This window comes from Homo sapiens, chromosome 12 (assembly GCF_000001405.40).
Source record: "Homo sapiens chromosome 12, GRCh38.p14 Primary Assembly".
Classification (NCBI taxonomy): domain Eukaryota; kingdom Metazoa; phylum Chordata; class Mammalia; order Primates; family Hominidae; genus Homo; species Homo sapiens.
In genome coordinates, this window is record NC_000012.12 from 112446730 (window position 1) to 112471346 (window position 24617).

Below are 24617 nucleotides of genomic sequence, written 5' to 3' on the forward strand. Positions count from 1 at the left end.
TTTCTTTTCAATTTTTTTTTTTTTTTAAATAGAGGTGGGATCTTCCAATGTTGGCCAGGTTGGCCTTGAACTTCTGGCCTCAAGCAATCCTGCCTCGGCCTCCCAAAGTGTTAGGATTACAGGCGTGAGCCACTATGCCTGGCCTTCTTTTTTTGAGACAAGCTGTTGCTCTGTTGCCCAGGCTGGAGTGCAGTGGTACGATCACAGCTTACAGCAGCCTTGAACTCCTGGGCTTAAGTGATCCTCCCGCCTCAGCCTCCCGGGTAGCTGGGACTCCAGGCTTGTGCCACCATGCTCAGCATTTTTAAAAAATATTTTTTGTAGAGATGAGGTCTCACTGTATTACCAAGGCTGATCTTTAACTCTTAGCCTCAAGTGATCCTCCTGCCTCAGCCTCCCAAAGTGTTGGGATTACAGGCATGAGCCACCACACTCAGACTTTGTTGACTTCTTAATAAGAAAAATACTTGTTAAGAGTTTCTTCAGATCACTTTCCTTTATCAACAAGTAAAACATGACTGAGGAAGTTGTGGTCCCCTTTGCTTCCCTGCCCAGGCCCGTTTCCCTCCCTCTTTCCCCAGAGGAAACCACCAAGAGGTTGGCATATATTCTTCCTGAACGTGTTTTTATAGTTGTACTGCACTTGTACTGTGTATGAACAATATAAAGTTGGTTTGTGTGTTTAAAAAATTCACATACATGGATTTATAATGTATGTATCATTTTGCAACTTAAAAATTTTTTTTTGAGCTCCATGCTGATTGATAACGATCTATTTTTTTTTTTTGAGATGGAGTTTCAGTCTTATTGCCCAGGCTGAAGTGCAATGGCGTGATCTCAGCTCACTGCAACCTCAGCCTCCTGGGTTCAAGCTATTCTCCTGTCTCAGCCTCCGGAGTGGCTGGGATTACAGGTGCATGCCACCATGCCCAGCTAATTTTTGTATTTTTAGTAGAGATGGGGTTTCACCATGTCGACCAGGCTGGTCTCAAACTCCTGACCTCAGGTGATCTGCCTGCCTTGGCCTCCCAAAGTGCTGGAATTACAGGCATGAGCTACCATGCCTGGCCTTTTTTTTTTTTTTTTTTTGAGACAAAGTCTTGCTCTTTTTCCCAGGCTGGAGTGCAGTGGCCACAATCTTGGCTCACTGCAACCTCTGCCTCCTGAGTTCAAGCAGTTCTCCTGCCTCAGCCTCCTGAGTAGCTGGGATTACAGACATGTACCACCATGCCAAGTTAATTTTTGTATTTTTTGTAGAGACTAGGTTTTACCATGTTGGCCAGGCTGGTCCTGAACTCCTGACTTAAAGTGATCCATCTGCCTTGGCTTCCCAAAGTGCTGGGGTTACAGGCATGAGCTATCGCGCCTGGCCTGAGAAATCTCATTCTTACTCCTACTCCCTTGCACACTATCTCCATTCTGTAGGTAGCCATTTCTATTAATTTCTTGTTTACCCTTCTGTGTTTCTTTCATTCTTTTTCTTTTTTTCTTTTTTTTTTTTGAGACAATCTTGCTCTGTTGCCCAGACTGGAGTGCAGTGGTGTGATCTTGGCTCACCGCAACCTCCACCTCCTGGGTTCAAGTGATTTTCATGACTCAGCCACCTAAGTAGTTGGGATTACAGCGCCTGGTGTACACTACCACACCCAGCTAATTTGTGTATTTTTAGTAGAGATGGGGTTTCACCATGTTGTCCAGGCTAATCTCCAACTCTTGGCCTCAAGGGATCTGCCTGTCTCAGCCTCCCAAAGTGCTGGGATTATAGGCATGAGCCACCATGCCTGGCCCTATGTTTCTTTTTATAAAAATAAGCAAATTAATATTTTTATTACTATTTTCCTTTTATTTTTACACATCAAGTAGAACATTAAATATATTTCTCTGTAATTTTTTTCAGTTACCTAAATCTTTTAGTGATCTCTCTCATCTTTTTAATCAGCTGGATCGCATTCTATCATGTGAATATTTTATAACTTCTATATACTGTCACCAGCAGGTAGCGATTTAGTTGTGTCTAATATTTTAAAATGATATATAATGCCTCAATGAATATAGTAACCTTTTGCATATATTGTTTTGTGCTTTGGGATAACACTACCTCGTATTGGAAACTGTGTCATTACATGTGTCTTTAAAATTACATGTGTCTTTTTATTTTTATTTTTATTTTTTTTGAGTGGGAGTTTCACTCTTGTTGCCCAGGCTGGAGTGCAGTGGTGAGATCTCGGCCGACTGCAACTTCCGCCTCCCGGGTTCAAGCGATTCTCCTGCCTCAGCCTCCCCAGTAGGTGAGATTACAGGTGCCTGCCACCACGCCCAGCTAATTTTTGTATTTTTAGTAGGGACGGGGTTTCACCATGTTGGCCAGGCTGGTATCGGTCTGCTGACCTCAGGTGATCCTCCCACCTCAGCCTCCCAAAGTGCTGGGATTACAGACGTGAGCCACCATGCCTGGCCATCACTTTTTTTTTTTTCTTAATTGCTGCATAGTGGCCGGGCACAGTGGCTCACGCCTGTAATCCCAGCACTTTGGGAGGCCAAGGCAGGCGGCGGATCATGAGGTCAGGAGACCAATACCATCCTGGCTAACATGGTGAAACCCCGTCTCTACTAAAAATACAAAAAAATTTAGCTGGGCGTCGTGGCGGGCGCCTGTAGTCCCAGCTACTTGGGAGGTTGAGGCAGGAGAATGGTGTGAACCCGGGACGTGGAGCTTGCAGTGAGCCAAGATTGCACCACTGCACTCCAGCCTGGGTGATGGAGTGAGACTCTGTCTCAAAAACAAACAAACAAACAAAAAAATTGCTGCATAGTATTCCATTGTATGAGTAGTAACACAACAATTTTTATAATGCATAGTATTCCATTGTATGAATAGTAATGTAGCACTATTTGTTTATACATTTTTATGATTAAAAAACAAAATGTTTTTCTATTATGAATAAAGTGGCAATGAATATTTTTGTACAAGTGTTTTGGTAGCTATACAGTTATTGTCACTTAATATATGCAATTCGATAGGCCAGTCATTCAAAATAGAAGATATACAAGGTAGGCCGGGCGTGGTGGCTCACGCCTGTAATCTCAGCACTTTGGGAGGCCGAGGTGGGTGGATCACCTGTGGTTAGGAGTTTCAGACCAGCCTGACCAACATGGAGAAACCTCATCTCTACTAAAAATACAAAAGTAGCTGAGCGTGGTGGCGCATTCCTGTAATCCCAGCTTCTTGGGAGGCTGAGGTAGGAGAATCACTTGAACCTGGATTTATAATGTATGTAAATCCACCGCGAAGGTTGCGGTGAACCGAGATCACGTCATTGCACTCCAGCCTGGGCAATAAGAGCGAAACTCCATCTCAAAAAAAAAAAAAAAAGATATGCAAGGTAAAGATACTAATAAAGACCTTTGTGTTGAGTTGGTTGACATGTGGTTATTTCACCCATCGTATTTCTTATAGGGAATAGGTAAATTCGTTCCTTGGGTTTCTTTCAACACTTAGGTAAAATCCGACGTGGAAGATGAGATCTGATTTTACTGGTGTAACTCTTTATTTGTCCCCTTGCCTCCCTTTCCAATGGACTATTTTAGAAGAAATGGAGCTGTCACCCACATCAAGATTCAGAACACTGGTGATTACTATGACCTGTATGGAGGGGAGAAATTTGCCACTTTGGCTGAGTTGGTCCAGTATTACATGGAACATCACGGGCAATTAAAAGAGAAGAATGGAGATGTCATTGAGCTTAAATATCCTCTGAACTGTGCAGATCCTACCTCTGAAAGGTCAGTAACATTTTAGTGACCACAAAGTCTGCTGCTCCCTTGTGCCCTGAGTGTCAGAAATGCATGACGGTCTGTGTATGACTCTCTGACTCCAAAGGCTTGTGACTGTTTTTTGAGCTGTAATCTTTAAAGAATTACTAAAGTGAGACTAATAGCATCAAATTATTTTCAGAGTACCTTTTTCCTGCAAAAGTTTTAATCAGTGTTACTTACACTCATCCTATAGGGGTTGCATACCATTCCTGCATATACTTGGTACGTGTATTAGTTTTAAGACTTATTGAACTTCAGCAGATAATCTTTGAGAGTTATTAGAGGAAAACAAATGATAATGGAGACACCAAAATAGCAGCAGTTTTCTATGGTGGCTCTCGACCAGTTATTCAGCAATGTCACCAACAGATGTCAGTTTAAGCTCAGAAGTGGAAAAGCAGAGAGCTCAGAGGGTCAGCTTTTTCATCAGTTCTTTTAATGTTATCACCACAATTATGTGAGAATGACCTTGCTTAGAGAAAATTATGTTATTTTCGAGATCTTTCCCCCTGTGTTGGAACTAGGCTGATGAAAGCATGGGCTTGACTTATTTATTGATTGTATTCGTTTTGTACATTCCCAATCTCCTCTCTGACTTGGTGCAAATTCAGGATCTCTTAGTTAGTTTGTATATTTTGTGTCTTCAGGTATGATTTTTTCAGCTTATACCTTTATGTCAGTGCTATTATGTGCTGATAATTTGTTTCTCTAGCTACCACCGTAGCTTCAGGCAAAAGGCTGTCAGCCAACTCTGTACAGTTTATTTCTAAATTTTACTGTTTTCAGTTGAGTATGGATGAAGAATAACTCAAAGTTTATTCTTTTGATGATGAGCCCTTAACACCACCTGCCATGATAGTACTTGCTTTCTGACCAAGATCCTGAGGGAAAAAGCCACTTTATTATTAGAACTATGTTAAGATGCTTCCCAAAAAACATGGAGCAGTATTGTCTCAAAGTCTGTCCTTGGATGGCTTTGGATGCCTACATCAGGACTGTCTGATGTGCTGGTTAAAATGCAGATTCCTGGGCCTCATTCAGACTTACATGTATTGATATTGCTGGTTGTGGAGCCTGGGAATTCATATTTTTAGCAAAATCCCTCATTTTTACTCCAAGTCTTATGTGCATTATACAGTTTGAGATGATCACCCAGGATATAGTCCAAAGACACTGGAGGCTGTTGAAGTATAGGTTGTATATATGGAAAAGGTTGGAATGTTTGAATTAATTTATAATGAAGATCCTTTTTAATTGAGTGTTCACATGCCAAGGCAAGGACAAACATTCAAAATGATTTTCTGTCTCTGTTACAACTTTTTCTTTCTTTTTTTTAATTTATTTATTTGAGATGGAGTCTCACTCTGTCACCCAGGCTGGAGTCAAGTGACGCGATCTCGGCTCACTACAACCTCCGCCTCCCAGATTCAAGTAATTCTCTTGCCTCAGCCTCCCGAGTAGCTGGGACTACAGGCATGTGCCACCATGCCCAGTTAATTTTTGTATTTTTAGTAGAGACAGGGTTTTGTCATGTTTGCCAGGCTGGTCTCAAACTCCTGAACTCAGGTGATCCGCCCACCTTGACCTCTCAAAGTGCTGGGATTATAGGCGTGAGCCACCGTGCCTGTCTCTATTACAACTTTTTATTACAACTTCTTTATTTTGACTTTATTTTTACAAATTATTTATTTATTTTTTTTGAGATGGAGTTTCGCTCGTCACCCAGGCTGGAGTGCAATGGTGCGATCTCAGCTCACTGCAACCTCCGCCTCCCAGGTTCAAGTGATTCTCCTGCCTCAGCCTCCTGAGTAGCTGGGATTACAGGCACTTGCCACCACACCCGGCCAATTTTGTATTTTTAGCAGAGACAGGGTTTCACCATGTTGGTCAGGCTGGTCTCGAATTCTTGACCTCAGGTGATCCACCTGCCTCGGCCTCCCAAAGTGTTGGGATTACAGGCATGAGCCACCACGTCCGGCCGACTTTTATTTTTTTTTCTTGAGACAGGGTCTTGCTCTGTCACCCAAGCTGGAGTGCGGTGGCATGATCATAGCGCACTGCAGCCTCGACCTCCTGGACTCAAGTGATCCTCCTGCCTCGGCCTTGTGTATAGCTGGGATTACAGGCAGTTGCCACCATGCCAGGCTAATTTTTAATTGTTTTGTGAAGATGGGGATTTCACTGTGTTGCCCAGACTGGTCTTGAACTCCTGGCCTCAAGTGATCTTCCTGCCTTGGCCTTCCAAAGTGTTGGGATTACAGGCATAAGCCACTATGCATGGCCTGTAACTTCTTTAAATGGCTATAATTAAACAGTTGGTCCTTTTAAGATTGGGCAATGGACGAATGGCAAATTGCATTTTTAAAAGAGGAGGGATTTAAAAAAAAACAGGAAAGATTGGGGCATTTGTCTCTAAAGGACTGTGGACTCATTTAAGAAGTTTAGTGGTCATTCTTACCATCTTTGTGGTTTTTCCTGCCTGCATGGGATGCAGATTTTCTGTCTCAGGTGGGATTGATCAATCCCTTGGAGGAATGTGTCTACTTTTTAATTGTGTTTAGGAGAGCTGACTGTATACAGTAGTTTTGTGAAAGAACAACATGAACCCATAGTAGAGCTAAATTCTTTTTTATTTTTTAAAAACTTTAGGTGGTTTCATGGACATCTCTCTGGGAAAGAAGCAGAGAAATTATTAACTGAAAAAGGAAAACATGGTAGTTTTCTTGTACGAGAGAGCCAGAGCCACCCTGGAGATTTTGTTCTTTCTGTGCGCACTGGTGATGACAAAGGGGAGAGCAATGACGGCAAGTCTAAAGTGACCCATGTTATGATTCGCTGTCAGGTAAATCTCCAGTTGAAAAATGGGTCTGGCAAGATGTTACCTTTGGGTGATTTTTCTGCTGACAGAAGACAGACACCATTACATTCAAAGTCAGATTGTCTTTTATTTATTTATTTATTTATTTATTTATTTGAGACAGGGTCTTGCTCTATCACCTACAGATGGGGTTTCACCACGTTGGGTCTGGTGACCCAAATCTTTGGGTGATTTTTCTGCTGGAAGAGGACAAACACCATTACATTCAAAGTCAGATTTTCTGTTTTTTTTTTTTTTTTGTTTTTGTTTTTTTAATATTCATTTGTTTATTCATTTGAGACTGGGTCTTGCTCTGTCACGCAGGCTGGAGTGCAACCTCCCTGGGCTCAGTTGATCTTCCCTCAGCCTCTTGAGTAGCTGGGACTACAGGTGTGTGCCACCATGCCCAGCTAGTGTTTGTATTTTTTGTGGAGATGGTGTTTTGCCGCATTGCCCAGTGTGGTCTTGAACTAGTGCTCAAGAGGCCTGCCTCCTTCAACCTCTCAAAGTGTTAGGATTACAGATGTGAACTACTGTGCCTGATCCAAAGTCAGATTTTCTTTGCTTACTTAGTCAAGTTCGTCTATGCTTTTATTATACTTAATATATTAGTATAGTTACTGTATTAGTATATTAGCATATTTAATATATTATTATACTTATCATACTTGAGTATATTGAGTATATTTACACTTTTAGTATATTTGTATACACACACCACATTTTTATTATTTATCTTTTTTTTGAGACAGAGTCTCCCTCTGTCTCCCAGGCTGAAGCACAGTTGGCTCACTGCAACCTCTGCCTCTTGGGCTCAAGTGATTCTCGTGCCTCACCCTCCTGAGTAGCAGGGATTACAGGTGTCCACCACCAAGCCTGGCTAATTTTTGTATTTTTAGTGGATATGGGGTTTTACCATGTTGGCCAGGCTGGTCTCGAACTCCTGACCTCAAATGATCTGCCCGCCTTGGCCTCCCAAAGTGCTGGAATTACTGGCGTGAGCCACTGCACCCAGCCTATTATCTGTCTTTTGATGGACATTTAAGTTGTCTCTATATACTAGCTATTGTGAATAATGCTGCAGTGAACATGAGAGTGCTTGAAAACACTAATGTAACATAAAGGTAACAAATAATAAATGTCATGTGTTTATCTTGAAAGGAACTGAAATACGACGTTGGTGGAGGAGAACGGTTTGATTCTTTGACAGATCTTGTGGAACATTATAAGAAGAATCCTATGGTGGAAACATTGGGTACAGTACTACAACTCAAGCAGGTGAGCAGATTGGAAAGCTCAAGCTTTCTCCTTAAAAACTTAAAACAAATCCTAATAGAGAATTTTGCAAACATACAGAGGTAGACAGAATAGTATCATCAGCCTCCATGTACCCATTGCAGCTTCAACTATCAAATCTTTTTTTTTTTTTTTTTTTTTGAGACAGTCTTACTCTGTCACCCAGTCTGGAGTACAGTGTTGCAATCTTGGCTCACTACAACCTCTGCTTCCTGGGTTCAAGCGATTCTCCTGCCTCAGCCTCCTGAGTAGCTGGGACTACAGGTGCCCACCACCATGCCCGGCTAGTTTTTGTGTTTTTAATAGAGATGGGGTTTCACCATGTTGGCCTGGCTGGTCTTGAATTCCCGACCTCAGGTTTTCTGCCCGCCTTGGCCTCCCGAAGTTTTGGGATTACAGGCGTGAGCTACCACGCCCGGCCCTAAATCTTTTCTTATTATGATTCCACTCACTGACTGCCGCTATAGTACTTGGAAACATATTCCAGATTTATATTATTCCCATATTTATCTGTAAAAGGCATTACAGAGGTTCTTTTTTTTTTTTTTTTTTTTTGAGATGGAGTTTTGCTCTGTCGCCCAGGCTGGAGTGCAGTGGCGTGTTCTTGGCTCACTGCAACCTCTGCGTCCCGGGTTCAAGAGCTTCTCCTGCCTCAGCCTCCTGAGTAGCTGGGATTATAGGTGGTGCCACTACACCCAGCTAATTTTTGTATTTTTAGTAGAGATGGGGTTTCACCATGTTAGCCAGGCTGGTCTTGAACTCCTGACCTCAAGTGATCTGCCTGCCTCAGCCTCTCAAAGTGCTGGGATTATAGGCATGAGCCACTGCATCTGGCCTAAGGCTGTACAGAGTTTTAAAGCAAGTTTTCATTATAGATCCACTTCTGGTTACCTTTAGGTAACCTCACTTATTCACTTTGGCATTGTTGCTATTTCAAATTTCACCTTTATGATAGTGGAAAATGATATAATCTCTCTAAATAATGTGGTCTATTCATAAAGAAAAATAGGCTTGAATTTATATCAGCAGAGTAAAGTGTATGTGAAGACTGAAGAAAGATACATTTTCTGGCTGAACAGAAAACACGGTGAAACGATTTGAAAACTTTTATTGTGAATTACAGGGTCCTATGAACCCTCTGTCCGTGCCTTTATGAATATCAACATAGACATGTTTTTTTTTTTTTTTTTGCATTAACACCGTTTTCTGTAATATTTTCTTTATTTTACATCAACTGCTGTACTCGATCAGCCCCTTAACACGACTCGTATAAATGCTGCTGAAATAGAAAGCAGAGTTCGAGAACTAAGCAAATTAGCTGAGACCACAGATAAAGTCAAACAAGGCTTTTGGGAAGAATTTGAGGTAAGTTATTAAAAAACTGTTTTTACGTGAGTTGTTATATCCTATTTTTAGTGGAGGAGAAGTTGCTCTTGTGTTTGGAATTGGACCTGAGAGACTTGAAACTGACGTCCTTTTTTAATTCGGCCATTGATTGACACGGAGCAAGTTGCTGAGAGGGCTTCTTCGAAACAGAAGAGCATTGTGTTCTGAGGGAAGGGAGTTGGCAGTGAGTAGTCAATGGATGTGCTAGCCGCTCCATTTGGCTCTTTTGGTTTGGACTGGTGGCAAAATCTCAGAGAAACAAAAGGATCTAATTTCTTCGAAAGATTTCCAGCATGCACTGGGGTCTTTAGAAACAATCTATAGCCTTAGTGCAGCAAATGAGTATGAGTAAAAGAGAAACACCTTGTGGTGGCTTTTTTTTTTTTTTTTTTGAGACAGGGTCTCGCTCTGTCGCCGAAGCTGGAGTGTAGTGGCGTGATCTCGGTTTACTGCAGCCCCGTCCTCCCTGGGCTCAAGTGATCTTCCCATCTCAGCCTACTGAGTAGCTGGGACTACAGGCACATGCCCCTATGCCTGGCTAATTTTTGTATTTTTGGTAGAGATGAGGTTTTGCAGTGTTGCCCAGGCTGGTCTTGAACTCTTGGGCTCAAGTGATCCTCCTACTTAAGCTTCCCGAGTAGCTGGGACTACAGGCACACGATACCATGCCCATCTAATTTTTGTATTTTTTTGTAGAGATGGGGTTTTGCAGTGTTGCCCAGGCTGGTCTTGAACTCTTGGGCTCAAGTGATCCTCCAGCTTTGACGTGCCAAATGTGGTGGCTTTAATTTCAGAGTTCAAATTGATAACTCTGGTAAGTTAAGTGAACTGATTTCTTTTTTTTTTAAATTATTTTTGTTGATTATACTTTAAGTTCTGGGATATATGTGCAGAACGTGCAGGTTTGTACATAGGTATACATGTGCCATCATGGTTTGCTGCACACATTAACCCATCATTTAGGTTTTAAGTCCTGCATGCATTAGGTGTTTGTCCTAATGCTCTCCCTCCCCTTTAATGCATCAGTGAAAAAGTGATGATAGGCTGGGCGTGGTGGCTCACTCCTGTAATCTCAGCACTTTGAGAGGGTGAGGCAGGTGGACCACTTGAATCCAGGAGTTTGCCCCCATCCCCAGACAGTGTGTGTGATGTTCCCCTCCCTGTGTCCATGTGTTCTCATTGTTTGGTTTTCTGTTCCTGTGTTAGTTTGCTGAGAATGATGGTTTCCAGCTTCATCCATGACCCTGCAAAGGACATGAACTCATTCTTTTTTTATGGCTGCATAGTATTCCATGGTGTGTATGTGCCACATTTTCTTTATCCGGTCTATCATTGATGGGCATTTGGGTTGGTTCCAAGTCTTTGCTATTGTAAATAGTGCTGCAATAAACATATGTGTGCATATGTCTTTATAGTAGAATGTTTTATAATCCTTTGGGTATATACCCAGTAATGGGATTGCTGGGTCAAATGGTATTTCTGGTTCTAGATCCTTGAGGAGTCACCACACTGTCTTCCACAATGGTTCAACTAATTTACACTCCCACCAACAGTGTAAAAGCATTCCTATTTCTCCACATCTTCTCCAGCATCTGTTGTTTCCTGACTTTAAGTGAACTGATCTCTTTCCTGAAACTAACTTGGGTTGGAGAATGTCCCTGATGGGAATGTGCTGTGTTCCCATTGCACTCTTCTATATCACTTACCCATTGACAATGTGATCTCTTTCATTTTCTCCTCATCCATTTGACAGAAAACTTCAAAAACAAGGATTCTGGCATATTTACCTTTGCAGTTGTCCCCAGCATGTAGCACGGTGCCTAGTACACAGAAGAAACTCCATAAATGTTTGTTGAATGAGATTTACATTTAACTCATGTTTACATCATTTTATTTTCCTGTTCTGTTTTATGGGAATGATTATTCTATGCTTTTTGAGGACTACAATTTATAAATATTTGTGGATTGAATGAATAAGTGAATACTGGGCAAATAAAGTCCTTTTAGCCAGAGTATGTCTGAACAACTTGCTGAGATAGATATGATTTCCCATTTTCCAGCTGAGGGGCCTAAGGGAGGTTAAGTAAATTATTCAATCTTCATACCACAGTTTTTGTTTTGTTTTGTTTTGTTTTTTTTCCTCCTGAGACAGAGTCTCACTTTGCTGCCATACTGGAGTACAGTGGTGCAATCATAGCTCACTGCAGCGTCCAACTTCTGGGCTCACGCCATCCTCCCACCTCAGCCTCCTGAGTAGCTGGTACTACAGGTGTGCACCACCATAGCCGGCTAATTTTTCATTTTTTGTAGATATGGGGTCTCACTGTGTTACTCAGGTTGGTCTTGAACTTCTGAGCTCAAACAATTCTCCTGTCTTGGCCTCTCAAAGTGTTGGGATTACAGGTGTGAGCCACTGTGCCCGGCCCATACCACAGATATTGATTGAATTCCAGCAGTGGGGAGGAGTGTGGAATAGAACATTCTCAGTCCTTGCTCAACATTACTGAACAGAGACTTGAATTTGAGTTTATTCTCTCATCCCAGGCTTCGCGTTAGGCTCTGAAGACACTAGTGAACAAGACAGACAGGGTTACTGCCTTTAAAGGGAGCTTTTAGTTGAGAGAAGGAAAACAGTGATGAAAAGCATCAGTGAAAAAGTGATGATAGGCTGGGGCGTAGTGGCTACTCCTGTAATCTCAGCACTTTTAGAGGGTGAGGCAGGCAGCTCACTTGATTCCAGGAGTTTGAGACCAGGCTGGGCAACATGGTAAAACCCCGTCTCTACAAAAAATACAAAAAGTAGCTGGGTGTGGGGGTGCGCACCCACAGTCCCAGCTACTCTGGGGGTTGAGGTGGGAGGATTGCTCGAGCCTGGGAGATTGAGGCTGCAGTGAGCTGAGATCACGTCACTGCTCTCCAGCCTGAGCAACAGAGCCAGAACCTGTCCCAAAAAAAAAAAAAATTGATGATAAACATAGTGAGACAGAATTTTGAAATCTCAGCCTCACTGTTGCCTTCCTTGTCCCCTGCCTGCCTAAATAATAAAAGGCAGCATTTCAGCAGTCATTCATTTCATTACTTTCACTTCATTTCACCTTCATAAAGCCTCATGAGGTAAGATGGGAAGATACAGAAGTTTTAGAAACCGCTCATCAAAATTGAATGGAAAGCCGATTGTTCCAAAACTTTTTAGTGTGGAAAATTTCTATTATATGCAAAAGTAGAGAGAATGGGATAGTTATAGCAGTATACCTGACACCCAGCATTAACAACTGTTGATAATATGGCCAATCTTTTTCGACTCTGCCCCACTCACTTCCCCAGCCCTGACTTGTCTTGAAGCAAATACTTTTTTTTTTTTTTTGAGATAGAGTTTTGTTTTGTTTTGTTTTTTGTTTTTGAGATGGAGTCTCACTCTGTCCCCCAAGCTGGAGTGCTGTGGCTTGATCTTGGCTCACTACAACCTCCGCCTCCTGGGTTCAAGTGATTCTTGTGCCTCAGCCTCCTGAGTAACTGGGATTACAGGTGTGTACCACCATGCCCAGCTAATTTTTGTATTTTTAGTAGGGACAGGGTTTTCACTATGTTGGCCACGCTGGTCTCAAACTCCTGACCTCAGGTGATCCGCCTGACTTGGCCTCCGAAAGTGCTGGGATTGTAGGTGTGAGCCACTGCTCCCGGCCTTGAAGCAAATCTTAACACATCATTTCGTCTGTAACTATTTTATTTCAAAAAATTATAACCTGAATAGCATTATCATATCTAAAACTATTAACAGTATTTCCTTAATATTAACACATATCAGTCACATTTTCCTGATTGCTACACACACACACACACACACACACACACACACACTTGCAATTTGTGTTTTTTTCTTTTTAGATGGATCTCACTCTGTTGCCCAGGCTGGAGTGCAATGGTGCATTCTCAGCTCACTGCAACCTCCACCTCCTGGGCTCAACTGATTCTCTTGCCTCAGCCTCCTGAGTAGCTGGGACTACAGGTGCCCACCACCTCACCTGGCTAGTTTTTGTATTTTTAGTAGAGGTGGGGTTTCACCATGTTGGCCAGGTTGGTCTCAAACTTCCGACCTCAGGTGATCCACCCACCTTGGCCTCCCAAAGTGCTGGGATTACAGGCATGAGCCACTGTGCCCAGCAGCAATTTGTTTGAATTGGGAGTGCTTTCTTCCACCTTGATTATGAAAAAATTTCAAATGTGTATAAAACAGATTCATATAAAGGATCCTGATATGCCATTATCAGCTTTATCAATTATCCCTGTCATCATATTTTTTATTTATAAATATTTCAATATTTGTGGAATCCTTAAAAATGCATCACATAACCCAACATTGTTCATATTATACCAATTGTCTTATAATTTAAAAATATTTTGTTCAATCATTTTTCAGATAAGCTTCACACACTGTGGTTGGCTAAGTCTCATAATATTTCTGTTGTAAAAATCTTAAGTCTGGGCGTGGTGGCACACGGCTGTCATTCCAGCACTTTGGGAGGCTGAGGTGGGCGGATCACGAGGTCAAGAGATCGAGACCATCCTGGCCAACATGGTGAAACCCGGTCTCTACTAAAAATACAAAAATTAGCTGGGCGTGGTAGTGCGTGCCTGTAGTCCCAGCTACTCGGGAGGCTGAGGCAGGAGAATCGCTTGAACCCAGAAGGTGGCAGTTGCAGTGAGCCGAGATCGCGCCACTGCACTCCAGCCTAGAGACAGAGTGCGGCTTCATCTCAAAACGAAACAAAACAAAACAATCTTAAGTCTCTTAGAATACTTTGATGCCCCTTCCATCTCTCTTTTTCTGTCTTCCTTCCCCCTCTCCCTGTCTTTTCTGCTGTTGAAGAAAGCAGATCATTTGTCCTGAGAGTTACTTATAGTCTGAATTTTGCTGAGTGCCTCTCTGTGGTGGACTTAAGCATGTATCCATCCCTTATATTTCTTGTAAGTTGATATATCTAGAGACTTCATTGGATACAAGTTTTCTTTGGCAAGATAGCATGTATGGTGGTGTATCAGGAGGTGTTTATGTCCTGTTGTTTCTTCTCTGATTTTCTTAGCAGCTCCTGATCATTATTACTTAGATCCATTAATTCATAAGGGACTATATGGTAGTGATATTGTAATTTTATCATTCTTCTTCATTTGTTAGGTTGGCATATTTCTATAAAAAGCTTTTCATCGCCGAGGGTTGATTTTTTCCTTCTTACTAAGCAGTTTTCTTTTCTTTTTCTTTTTTTTTTTTTTGAGGTAGGTCTCACTGTGTTGCTCAGGCTGGTGTGCAGTGGCGCAAACACACAGTTGCGAACTCTTGGGCTGAGGTGATCCTCCTGCCTCAGTTTCCTGTGTAGTTGGGACCACAGGTGCATGCCACCATGCCTGGCTAATTTTTTGATTCTTTTGTAGAGATGAGGTCTCACTTTATTTCCCAGGCTGGTCTTGAATGTCTGGGCTCAAGCAATCTTTCTACCTCAGCCTCCTGAGTAGCTGGGACTACAGGCACATACCACCATGCCCAGCTAATTTTTTAATTTTTATTTTTAGTAGAGATGTGGTCGTATTATGTTGCTCAGGATGGTCTCGAACTGCAGAGCTCAAGTGATCCTCCTGCCTCAGCCTCCCAGTGTGCTGGGATTATAGGTGTACTACAGGCAAGAGCCAATGAGCCTGGTCAGATTTTTTTTTCCTGATTTGAAATCTGTTATGGGTTCAATTGATACTTCCAAATCAAACTCAGGGTTTCAGGATTTTTACTAACCTCATTGATCTTACCCATGTATCTCCTTTCTCTAATGCCAAAAATCCTACTTCTTGAAGCCATAATAAGATTATTCATTTGTTTTATCCCACATTACACACAACAATCTTAGAATAATGACTTCCCAATAATATGATTACTGAAAACAGTTTAATTTTTTTTGCGCTTTTCAAAAAAATCCTTCAGAGATGTGTAGTCAAGTTACTGTATTCTGCTGGGCACAGTGGCTCACGCCTATAATCCCAGTACTTTGGGAGGACAAGAAGGGAGGATCGCTGGACCTCAGGAGTTTGAGACCAGCCGGGGCAATATAGTGAGACCCTGTCTCTACAAAAGAAAATTAAAAATTAACCAGACATGGTGGCATGTCCCTATAGTCCCAGCTATTGAGAGGCTGTGGCGAGAGTAGGCTTAAGCCCAGGAGTTTGAAGCTGCAGTGAGATACGATTGTGACACTGTACTCTAGGGTGACAGAGCAGGGACCCTGTTTTTAAAAAAAAAAAATGAAAAAACTTCCTGTGCCTTAGACTCATTTGTAATCGTCCTTCTCTCTGTGTGGCTATATGCTAACTGGGTATATGGTTAGTTTATTTGTTTCATTTAAAAAATCTCTTTCTGTTAAGTTTTATTTATAATTACACAAATACTGGCTTTGATAGTCAAATTGAAAAAACAAAGTGTATTCAAAGAAGTCTACCTTCTATCCTTGTCCTTTCCTATGTTTTAGCCATAGTATAAAAAGTTATGGTTTATCATTATATTTCAAAAATATAAGAAGATATTCCCATATCCCACTTTTTCTTAAACAGTAGCATAACTTTACATACTTTTTTCTAACCTTGCTTTTTTAAATATCCTGGACATCCTGGATATCCATAATAGTGTCTAGAGATAGTCTTCATTCTTTTTTTACTGTATAGTAATCCACTGTGTACTTGTACCATAGTTTATTCAACCTATTGATGGGCATTTGGGTAGTTTCCAAATGTATCACAGAGAGGATTACAGTGAATAGCCTTGTGTATGCATCCTGCTTTACTTTTGCTGACTACTGGTAATATTAACATTTTTTATGTTCTGTATTTAAAAAATGGTGGTTATTATTCATCTATAACTTTTATTATACATGACTTTGGTTAGCATGCTTTAACCTTTTAGCATAACATTTGCAAGCTACTTGTTTTAATTAAAATTTTGGTTAAATGTAAAAAATAGTGAGCTATTTTGTAATCTAGATTCAATAGAATCTTATACTTCCTTTACAAATGATAGCTGAGTTGATCATTTGTGTAAATGACTGTGAACTTAAAAATTACAGCATTTTTTAAAATAAATTTTTTTAACATTTTAAAATTATTTAAAATAATAGACACACAAAGTAAAAAGAGAAGAAAAAAAAAAGAGACAGGGTCTTGCTATGTTGCCCAGGCTGGTCTCAAACTCCCAGGCTCAAATGATCCTCCTGCCTTGGCCTCCTAAAGTGTAAGCCACCACACTTGGCAAAAATTAGTTTCTTTAAAACAAAAACATTACAGGTTATCTGGTACCATGGTAGCTTCTTTAACACTAGGTTCACTTAGAACAAAGCTTAGGAACAAAGTCAGACTTTCACAAAGAGCTTGTGTGGCAATGGGGTATTTTTTGCAAATTCCATTGGTGGGGTCAAGATGTGAGTTTAGAAGGAACTCTTAGCCTGACTCTTCTGGCCATGGAAAAAGATGGTTGCTTCTAAATGCTGACCTGGTGATTTTACACTGTCACATCTCAAATTGTGGTCATCTTTTATACATTATTAACAACAAAAGGGAAAAATTGAGTTGACTTTAAGAGGAAGTGGAAAATAACGAGATCACATCTGTACTCTACAGGCTCTCCACAGAGGTCAGACTGAGGTGGTAAAATTGTTGTGCACTAAATTAGGGCATTAACGTTTCATGGAAACTGAAGCTATATCTAAATAGCTGATGGCCTGCTTTCTAGATCTCCTATATACCTGCTTCTCAAATTCAGTCTGTTTTAAAAAATTGCCCTTTGAGGTTGGAACCAGCGAAATAAGGCTGAAAACAGAATAAGCCATTATTGAAAAAATTAGGAACTTGGAAGCAGATACTCATAATCTAAATCCTCTGAAGCTAAAGTTTGATCCACAATAGCAAAGCATTATCATTTTAGTGATTGTACCTTAGTTGTTTCCTGGCAGGTGATAAATTTGGGATCACTTTCTTCTTACAGTGTGCTCTGATAGTCTTTAAAACAAACCAGAGCTCTAAATTGTAATGCCATTGGTAATTTAACTCTGATTTGTCTCTATGCCTGTCTCCTGGTGTTCTGTAAAATTCTACACGTCATTTCAGGTATCACTATCCAGAAGACGTTACTTTTGCCTTTGATGCACTTTAAAATGTGAAGTCTCTTGTGAAGCTCTTTGGTTATTTTCTCCTTTGCTGCTGAAATAAATTCAGGTTGATGATTTTCTTGTAGGATATGTTGTGTGATCTAGACATTGCAAACCCAAGTCTTTGATTTTTTTTTCCCTACAGATTGCCTGTTTCTTTTTTATTTTAATTTTTATTAGTTATTATTATTTTTGAGATGGAGTCTCACTCTGTCACCCAGGCTGGAGTGCAGAGGTGTGATAGCTCACTGCAACCTCCACCTCCCGGGTTCTTGTGCCTCAGCCACCCAGGTAGCTGGGATTACAGGCACGTACCACCACTCTCAGCTAATTTTTTTGTATTTTTAGTAGGGATGGGATTTCTCCATGTTGGCCAGGCTGATCTCAAACTCCTGACCTTAAGTGATCTTCCTGCCTTGGTCTCTGAAAGTGTTGGGATTACAGGTGTGAGCCACTGTGCCTGGCCAGTTATTAATTTTTTTAAAGAGATGGGGTCTCACTATCTTGCCCAGGCTGGAGTGCAGTGGCTCTTTACAGGCACTGTTGTAGTGCACTGCAGCCTTGAACTCCTGGGCTCAAGTGATCCTCCTGAGAGGCTGGAATTACAGGCACACACCACTGTGTCCAACAGATTGCCCATTTGTGATCTGTGTAAATATCTCTCACTTCCTGCAGTATCTCTGCTCAAGAATGTAAAGAGATGGATAATATTTTTAGATTTGTTGAAACAAAGTAAAGTTCTGCTCAAATGAGAATGACACTAACTAAATGAAAAGGCCGGTTATAATTCTGTAATTTTGTGCCTGCAATGTGTGTGTTATTGTACACTTGAATCGGCCCTGTGCATTGTGGCGAGGTGCATATTGCATGGTTGTATTGAAAAGGTGCTTGGGCCGGGCGTGGTGGCTCACACCTGTAATCCCAGCAATTTGGGAGGCTGAGGCAGCTGGATTACCTGAGGTTAGGAGTTCAAGACCAGCCTGGCCAACATGGTGAAACCCTGTTTCTAGTAAAAAATACAAAAAATTAGCTGGGTGTGGTGGTGGGTGCCTGTAATACCAGCTACTAGGGAGGCTAAGGCAGGGAGAATTGCTTAAACCTGGGAGGCAGAGGTTGCAGTGAGCTGAGATTGTGCCACTGCACTCCAGCCTGAGTGTATCACAAAAAAAAAAAAAAAAGGTTTTTGCCCTCTCTCTGTGCCTGCTGCTCCCTGTTGAGTCCTATAGGCCTGAGCTGCCAGGGGGTACTGTGGGCTGAGACTGGACATTGCAACCGACTGCAAGGCACCGTGGGACCCAGGTTGTGGATGGACTGTCTCTCGGGCTTTCTTCTTTCCATTCATCTTCCTCCTCTAACTCCCCTCTGTATCCAGTATCCTTGCTCTCCATACACCTGCTTCATTCTTTTTCCTTCAGTAGATTTTTCTGCTTCTTGACTTACAAACCCTACTTCTAGCCCCTTTCAGATATTGAAACTAGCAACTTTCAGGCTTTGTACCAAAGTCTCAGAGATTCTCATTGACTCGGATGCCATCCATCTCTAGTCCAAAGAACAATGTCAAGGACATGAACATGTGGAACAAAAGTGTCTGCTGTGGACACCTTTGGGGAGAAATAGTTTTCAGTGATGAGGGTTGTAGTGAGTTGGGCAGATATCCCAAAAATATCTGCCAAAAACTATAGACACTTCTGGTTGCAGTGACTTATTCCTTCCTTCATTCAGCAAATACTGATTGAACACCGACTGTATGTCTGGATCTATTCTAGGTTTTGGGGGTGGAGCAGTGAACAAATCAGTCTTTATCTTTATAGAGTGTACAGTCAAGTGGGAGAGACAGGCAGTAAACAAAGAAACAGTTCAATATTCAATCTGTGAGATGGTGATAAGTGCTACAGAGAAAACAAACTAGTGTAAGATAAAAAGGGTGTTTTGATAGGCCTTTACTATTTAGGTCTCTTTGATAAGGTGGCATTTGAACAAAGCTCTGAAGGAAATAATGGAGCCAACCATGCATATAACCTCAGGGAGAACATTCTAGGTAGAGGGAACAGCAAGTGCAAAGGCCCTGAAGTGGGGGTTTGTTTACCTTGTTGCACAATCTGCACACAGGCCAGTACAATTGGAATGGATGGGAAATGTAAAAGAGAGAAGTTGAAAAGGCCAGGTGCAGTGGCTCATGCCTACAATCCCAGCATTTTGGGAGGCTGAAGTGGGAGGAATTTGAGATCAGCCTGGGCAACAGAACCAGACCTCGGGCTAATTTTTGTATTTTTAGTAGAGACAGGGTTTCACCATATTGGCCAGGCTGATCTCAAACTCCTGACCTCAGGTGATCCTCCTGCCTCAGCCTCCCAAAGTGCTAGGATTACAGGTGTGAGCCATGGCCCCCAGCCGTATCTTTGTCTTAAAAAGTAATCTCTGTGCTTGGTAGGCCAAGAATTTAAAATATAAAAAATTTAAGAAAGAAAAAAAATAAGTAAAGTAACTATACAGGTTGGTCTGGCCGTAATGGTGAGTGTCATTATTTTTCTTCCCTAGGTATTTTGGCTCTGTTGCTCAGAGCAGTGCAGGCGAAATGGTCATTAGGGCATCGTCATGGTGCCTGGGGATGCCTGGCTCAGCCAGTTTATTTTCTGTCTGCCTCTCTCCTTGGTCCTTTTCCTCCACTTTCATTCATGAAATTCTAGTCAAGAGCTGGGTCCAGTGGTTTTCAATCCAAGGGCTTTGGAAGCCTCTGGGGTCTATTTTGGTCATTGCAGTCACTGGGCTGCTGCTCCTGGCATTTAGGTTGGCAGGGGTCTGGGCTGGGAAGCAGGAATGTTCAGTGGCCATAAATGTAAGGGTTGGTCTTACATTTACATAAGGGAGACAATGAAAACTTAACTCCTCCACAGTAGTGGAGTAGTGCCGTTGGGTACTCACAGTCAGTAGTGCCGTTGGGTACTCACATGTACAACATGGATCAGGACATTGACTTTCTGTGGATACCTTTTAATAGTTTATTAGATGTGTTAGGCTGTTTTGCACTGCTCTAAAGGAATATCTGAGTCTAGGTAATTTATAAAGACAAGAGGTTTAATTGGCTCATGGTTCTGAAGGCTGTACAAGCATGGCTCCAGCATCTGCTTCTGGTGAGGGCCTCAGGAAGCTTCCGGTCATAGTGGAAGGCAAAAGGAGGGCAGACGATCACATGGCCGGAGTGGTGGCAAGGGTGGGGTGGGAGCCACGCTCTTTTTTTAATTTTATTTTAATTTGAGACAGTGTCTCACTCTTTTGCCCAGCCTGGAGTGCAGTGGCGTGATCTCAGCTCACTGCAGCCTCTGCCTCCCAGGTTCAAGCAATTCTCCTGCCTCAGCCTCCTGAGTAGTTGGGACTACAGGCGCGCATCACAATGCCCAGCTGATTTTTGTATTTTTAGCAGAGACAGGGTTTCACCATGTTGGCCAGGCTGGTCTCGGACTCCTGATCTCAAGTAATCCGCCTGCCTCGGCCTCCCAAAGTGCTGGGATTACAGGCATGAGCCACTGCGCACGGCCACCACACTGTTTTAAACAACCAGATTGCACGTGAACTTAGAGTGAGAACTCACTGTGAGGATGGCACCAAAACATTCATGAAGGATCCACCACCTTCCTTTAGGCCCCACCTCCAACACTGGAGGTCATATTTCAACTTGAGATTTGGAGGGGACAGACATCCAAACCGTATCATTAAATTTAATAGTTTTATGCAGTTTTTTTGGCTCTAGATCTGTTTAGACTCCTGCAGTCAGGTGTCTGTAACTAGCCTCTGGTCCTTTTTGAGAGTTCACAGTTTGGTGCAAACCCTTTGGATGTATTATTTGGGAAAATGGGATATCTGGCAGCCTGTGTCCCTGCTTTACATTATCCTTTTTGCTGCCTGCCCCAAGCCTCCTCATTAGCATCCCTGCCAAGGCCAGTGGAGAAGGATGGAGATGCGGTGACATTCAGCTTGACAGGTCATTAGCAGCTTTTGTGCCCTAGGGACTGCTGGTGGGAGGGAGGTTGTGGAAGATAAACCCTGACAGGAATGTATTCTCCTCGAGGGCAGGGTTTATTTGATATTTTTCTGGAGCTTAGAACCATAAGCCTGGTGCTGGGGAGGAAGCGCCCTTAGCATTTGGTAGCCTCTGTGGGCAGAGCATGGAAAGTCACAACTTCTGAATTGTTTGTATTTTCAGTCTCACTCTAGATGGATGGCATCTTCTGCTATGGGAAATGAAATATGTTTAGGCAACTTGAGTCCCAGGTGCAGATGAGGCTGGGCTAATTGGTGCACTAGGGAAGGAGCCGGGGGAGAGATGTGCTGTTAGCTATTATCAATCTGTGACAACTGTCAGCTGCTGGCAGTTAGCACCCACCTGAGCCTGGGATGCAGGGGTGCCTCTCCTGTCCTCTGTGGAAGCCTCTGGACCCAGCAGCCATCTTGACTGTGCACTGTTCAAGCCCCAAGTCCGCCTGGAAGAGGTGATTGAGAACTTACTGCAGGATAAGGAAAGCGCAGGACAGGTGCAGTGGCTCACGCCTGTAATCTCAGTGCTTTGGGAGGCTGAGGCCGGAGGAGGGCTGGAGTCCTTGAGTGCGAGACCAGCCTGGGCAACATAGTGAGACCCTGTCTTTACAAAAAGGAAAAGAATTAGCCAGATGTGGTGGTGCGTGCCTGTAGTCCCAGCCACTCAAGAGGCTGAGGTGCGAGGATCACTTGAGCCCAGGAGTTTGAGGTTACAGTGAGCTATGATCATACCACTGCATTCCAGCCTGGGTGAGAGAGCATGACTCTGTCCCAACAACAAAAAAAAAGATTAAGGGAAGCCTCTGGCAGACCTGATGATGGGTGGCCCAGCCAAAATGAGTATTGATGAGGATTTCCCTGGTCTGGAACTCTGAATTTAGTCTGGCAAAGTATTCCCTTTGTGTTGTGAGATGATTCTTGGTGTTACCCCATCACGGTAGGTAAGATGAATTAGCAAATGAGAAAGGCTTTCTCTTTTTCATCCTTATCTAGTCCGTAGATGAAGCCTGAAGAAGGTCTCCATATGGTAGTAGTAAGTGTTTAACATCTACCTCTAACACTTGCCTGTGTCTTTTTTTTTTTGCAAAGCCTCAGGAATGCCCCAGTATCTAGGTAGAATTTGATAATATTTCATTTTTGTTATATTCCCTTTTCTGTTTACCTTCTATATACAGCAAAATGAAAAAATTTTTAAAATTTGTGCAAGTAAGGGCAATTTCTTTTTTCTTTTTCTTTTTTTTTGAGACAGGGTCTTGCTCTGGCACCCAGGCTGGAGTGCAGTGACACAATCTCGGCTCACTGCAACCTCTGCTTCCTGGGTTTAAGCGATTCTCCTGCCTCAGGCTTCCAAGTAGCTGGGATTACAGGTGCCTGCCACCACTCCCAGCTAATTTTCATATTTTTAGTAGAGACCAGGTTTTGCCATGTTGACTGGGCTGGTCTTGAACTCCTGACCTCAGGTGATCCATCCACCTTGGCCTCCCAAAGTGCTGGGATTATAGGCTTGAGCCACTGGGCCTGGCTGAGGCAGTTTCTTTTTGAAATATATTTTGTGAAGGAGAAAAAGAGGAGTTCAGTTTAAAGAAACAAATGACATAAGAGGTGGTATGCAGAGATGCCAAAGCATCTTGAAGGTGCTTTTTTTTTTGGAAACAGAGTCTTGCTTCATTGCCCAGTCTGGTCTGCAGTGGTGCAATCATGGTTCCCTGCAGCCTTGACCTTCTGGGCTCAAGTAATCCTCCCACCTCAGCCTCTCAAGTAGCTGGGACTACAGATGCATGCCACTATGTCTGGCTAATCTTTAAATTTTTTGTAGAAGCCAGCTCTCACCATATTGCCCAGGCTGGTCTTGACCTCCTGTCCTCGAGCAAAAATACCGATTTTGATTAAGTCTGGGGTAGGACCTGGGGCTGGGATTCTAACCAGCTCCCAGGTGGTGCTAATGCTGCTGGTCTACAGACCACACGTGGAGTAGCCAGTGTAGAGTTCATGTAGCAATAGTGATGTCATAGAAATAGCCAGTATCTGTATACTTGCTTTGTTGTATGTCACGCACTGTATAGTGATGTACATGCATCTCATTTGACCCTCACCCCGCCCCTTTGGGGGTAGAAAGGATTGTGCTCATTTCACACTCAAGGAAACTGAGGCACAGACAGGCAAAGTAGCTTGGCGAAACAGAAAGGAACTTAGAGGCAGGCCCTGATTAGCTCAGAGACTAGAAGGCCTTGTGCGTCATCCTGAACAGCTTGGACTTGATCTTGAAGGTGGAGGGAGAAATTGAAGGGTAATTAAACAGGAACTGTAGGAAATTCACCTTGCATAGTGATTGCTTTGGCCACGTGTGCCCTGCCACCGCCCCCCCACCTCAGTGAAGTGTCATGCGAAGTTGGGTTCGTAAATGAAGGCCCGAATGCTTTCCTGACAAGTTTGTTTTAAATCAAGCTGCTAATTAGTCCCAGTCCCCCTCCCCCGGTATGTATTTTTTTGTTGATGTCGTTTCACTTCATTTAGTTGAAGTGATTGATTCAGTTCAGTGTTTGAACTTCTTTTTGAACCTCACCTTAATAACCTGTCTAAACATCAAGGTTAAACCTTCTTGCTAACACAGCAGTATTGCTTGGTAAGACTGGCTCACAGTCCAAGGAAATGCTTGCCCAGAGAGGGCAAACTGCCTTAACTCCTTAACCTGAGCTCATTAAAAAAAATTCAAATGACTGATTCCTTGTCACAGTTCTACCTACATTGTTTTTATTTTTGTCCAGGTTTCAGCTAGTTAAATGCTTTTGTGATGAGCTTATGTCCAGGCTGAAGGTTGCATTTTGAAACTGAGCGTCAAATACCAATTTAAAGTCCAGACCTTTACACTTGTGAAATTCAGATAAATGAAATGGAAATAAAACAGGGCTGCTGTGTTGTGAAATATGACTGTGTTTTTCCTTGTAGGACTCTTTGAGGGTAGCCATTTTGGCATTTTATATATAAATTTTCTTTTCTTAGCCTACCTTTTACTTTCTTGATTTGCCTATTTGTGATTTCCCATTAAACACTAGGCT

The 24617-nt window shown here is 42.4% G+C and overlaps 1 protein-coding gene and 1 long non-coding RNA gene across 6 annotated transcripts in view; one reads left to right on the forward strand and one right to left on the reverse strand.

Moving 5' to 3' along the window:
• Positions 1-24617, forward strand: part of PTPN11 (protein tyrosine phosphatase non-receptor type 11) — a 90972-nt gene that overhangs the window by 27783 nt on the left and 38572 nt on the right. For 3 of the 5 annotated variants that reach the window (NM_001330437.2, NM_002834.5, NM_080601.3), the window contains exons 3-6: positions 3589-3783; positions 6466-6658; positions 7835-7951; positions 9221-9334. In NM_001330437.2, coding sequence (NP_001317366.1) covers positions 3589-3783; positions 6466-6658; positions 7835-7951; positions 9221-9334 — 619 coding nt within the window. The remainder of the gene's footprint in view (positions 1-3588; positions 3784-6465; positions 6659-7834; positions 7952-9220; positions 9335-24617) is intronic. The other 2 variants (XM_011538613.3, NM_001374625.1) reach the window with 1 other exon arrangement.
• Positions 11021-23516, reverse strand: LOC124903023 (uncharacterized). The gene is made up of 3 exons (XR_007063466.1): positions 23392-23516; positions 21911-22007; positions 11021-11175 (listed from the first exon to the last, which is right to left on the reverse strand). It is a non-coding gene; the product is annotated as an uncharacterized LOC124903023 (long non-coding RNA).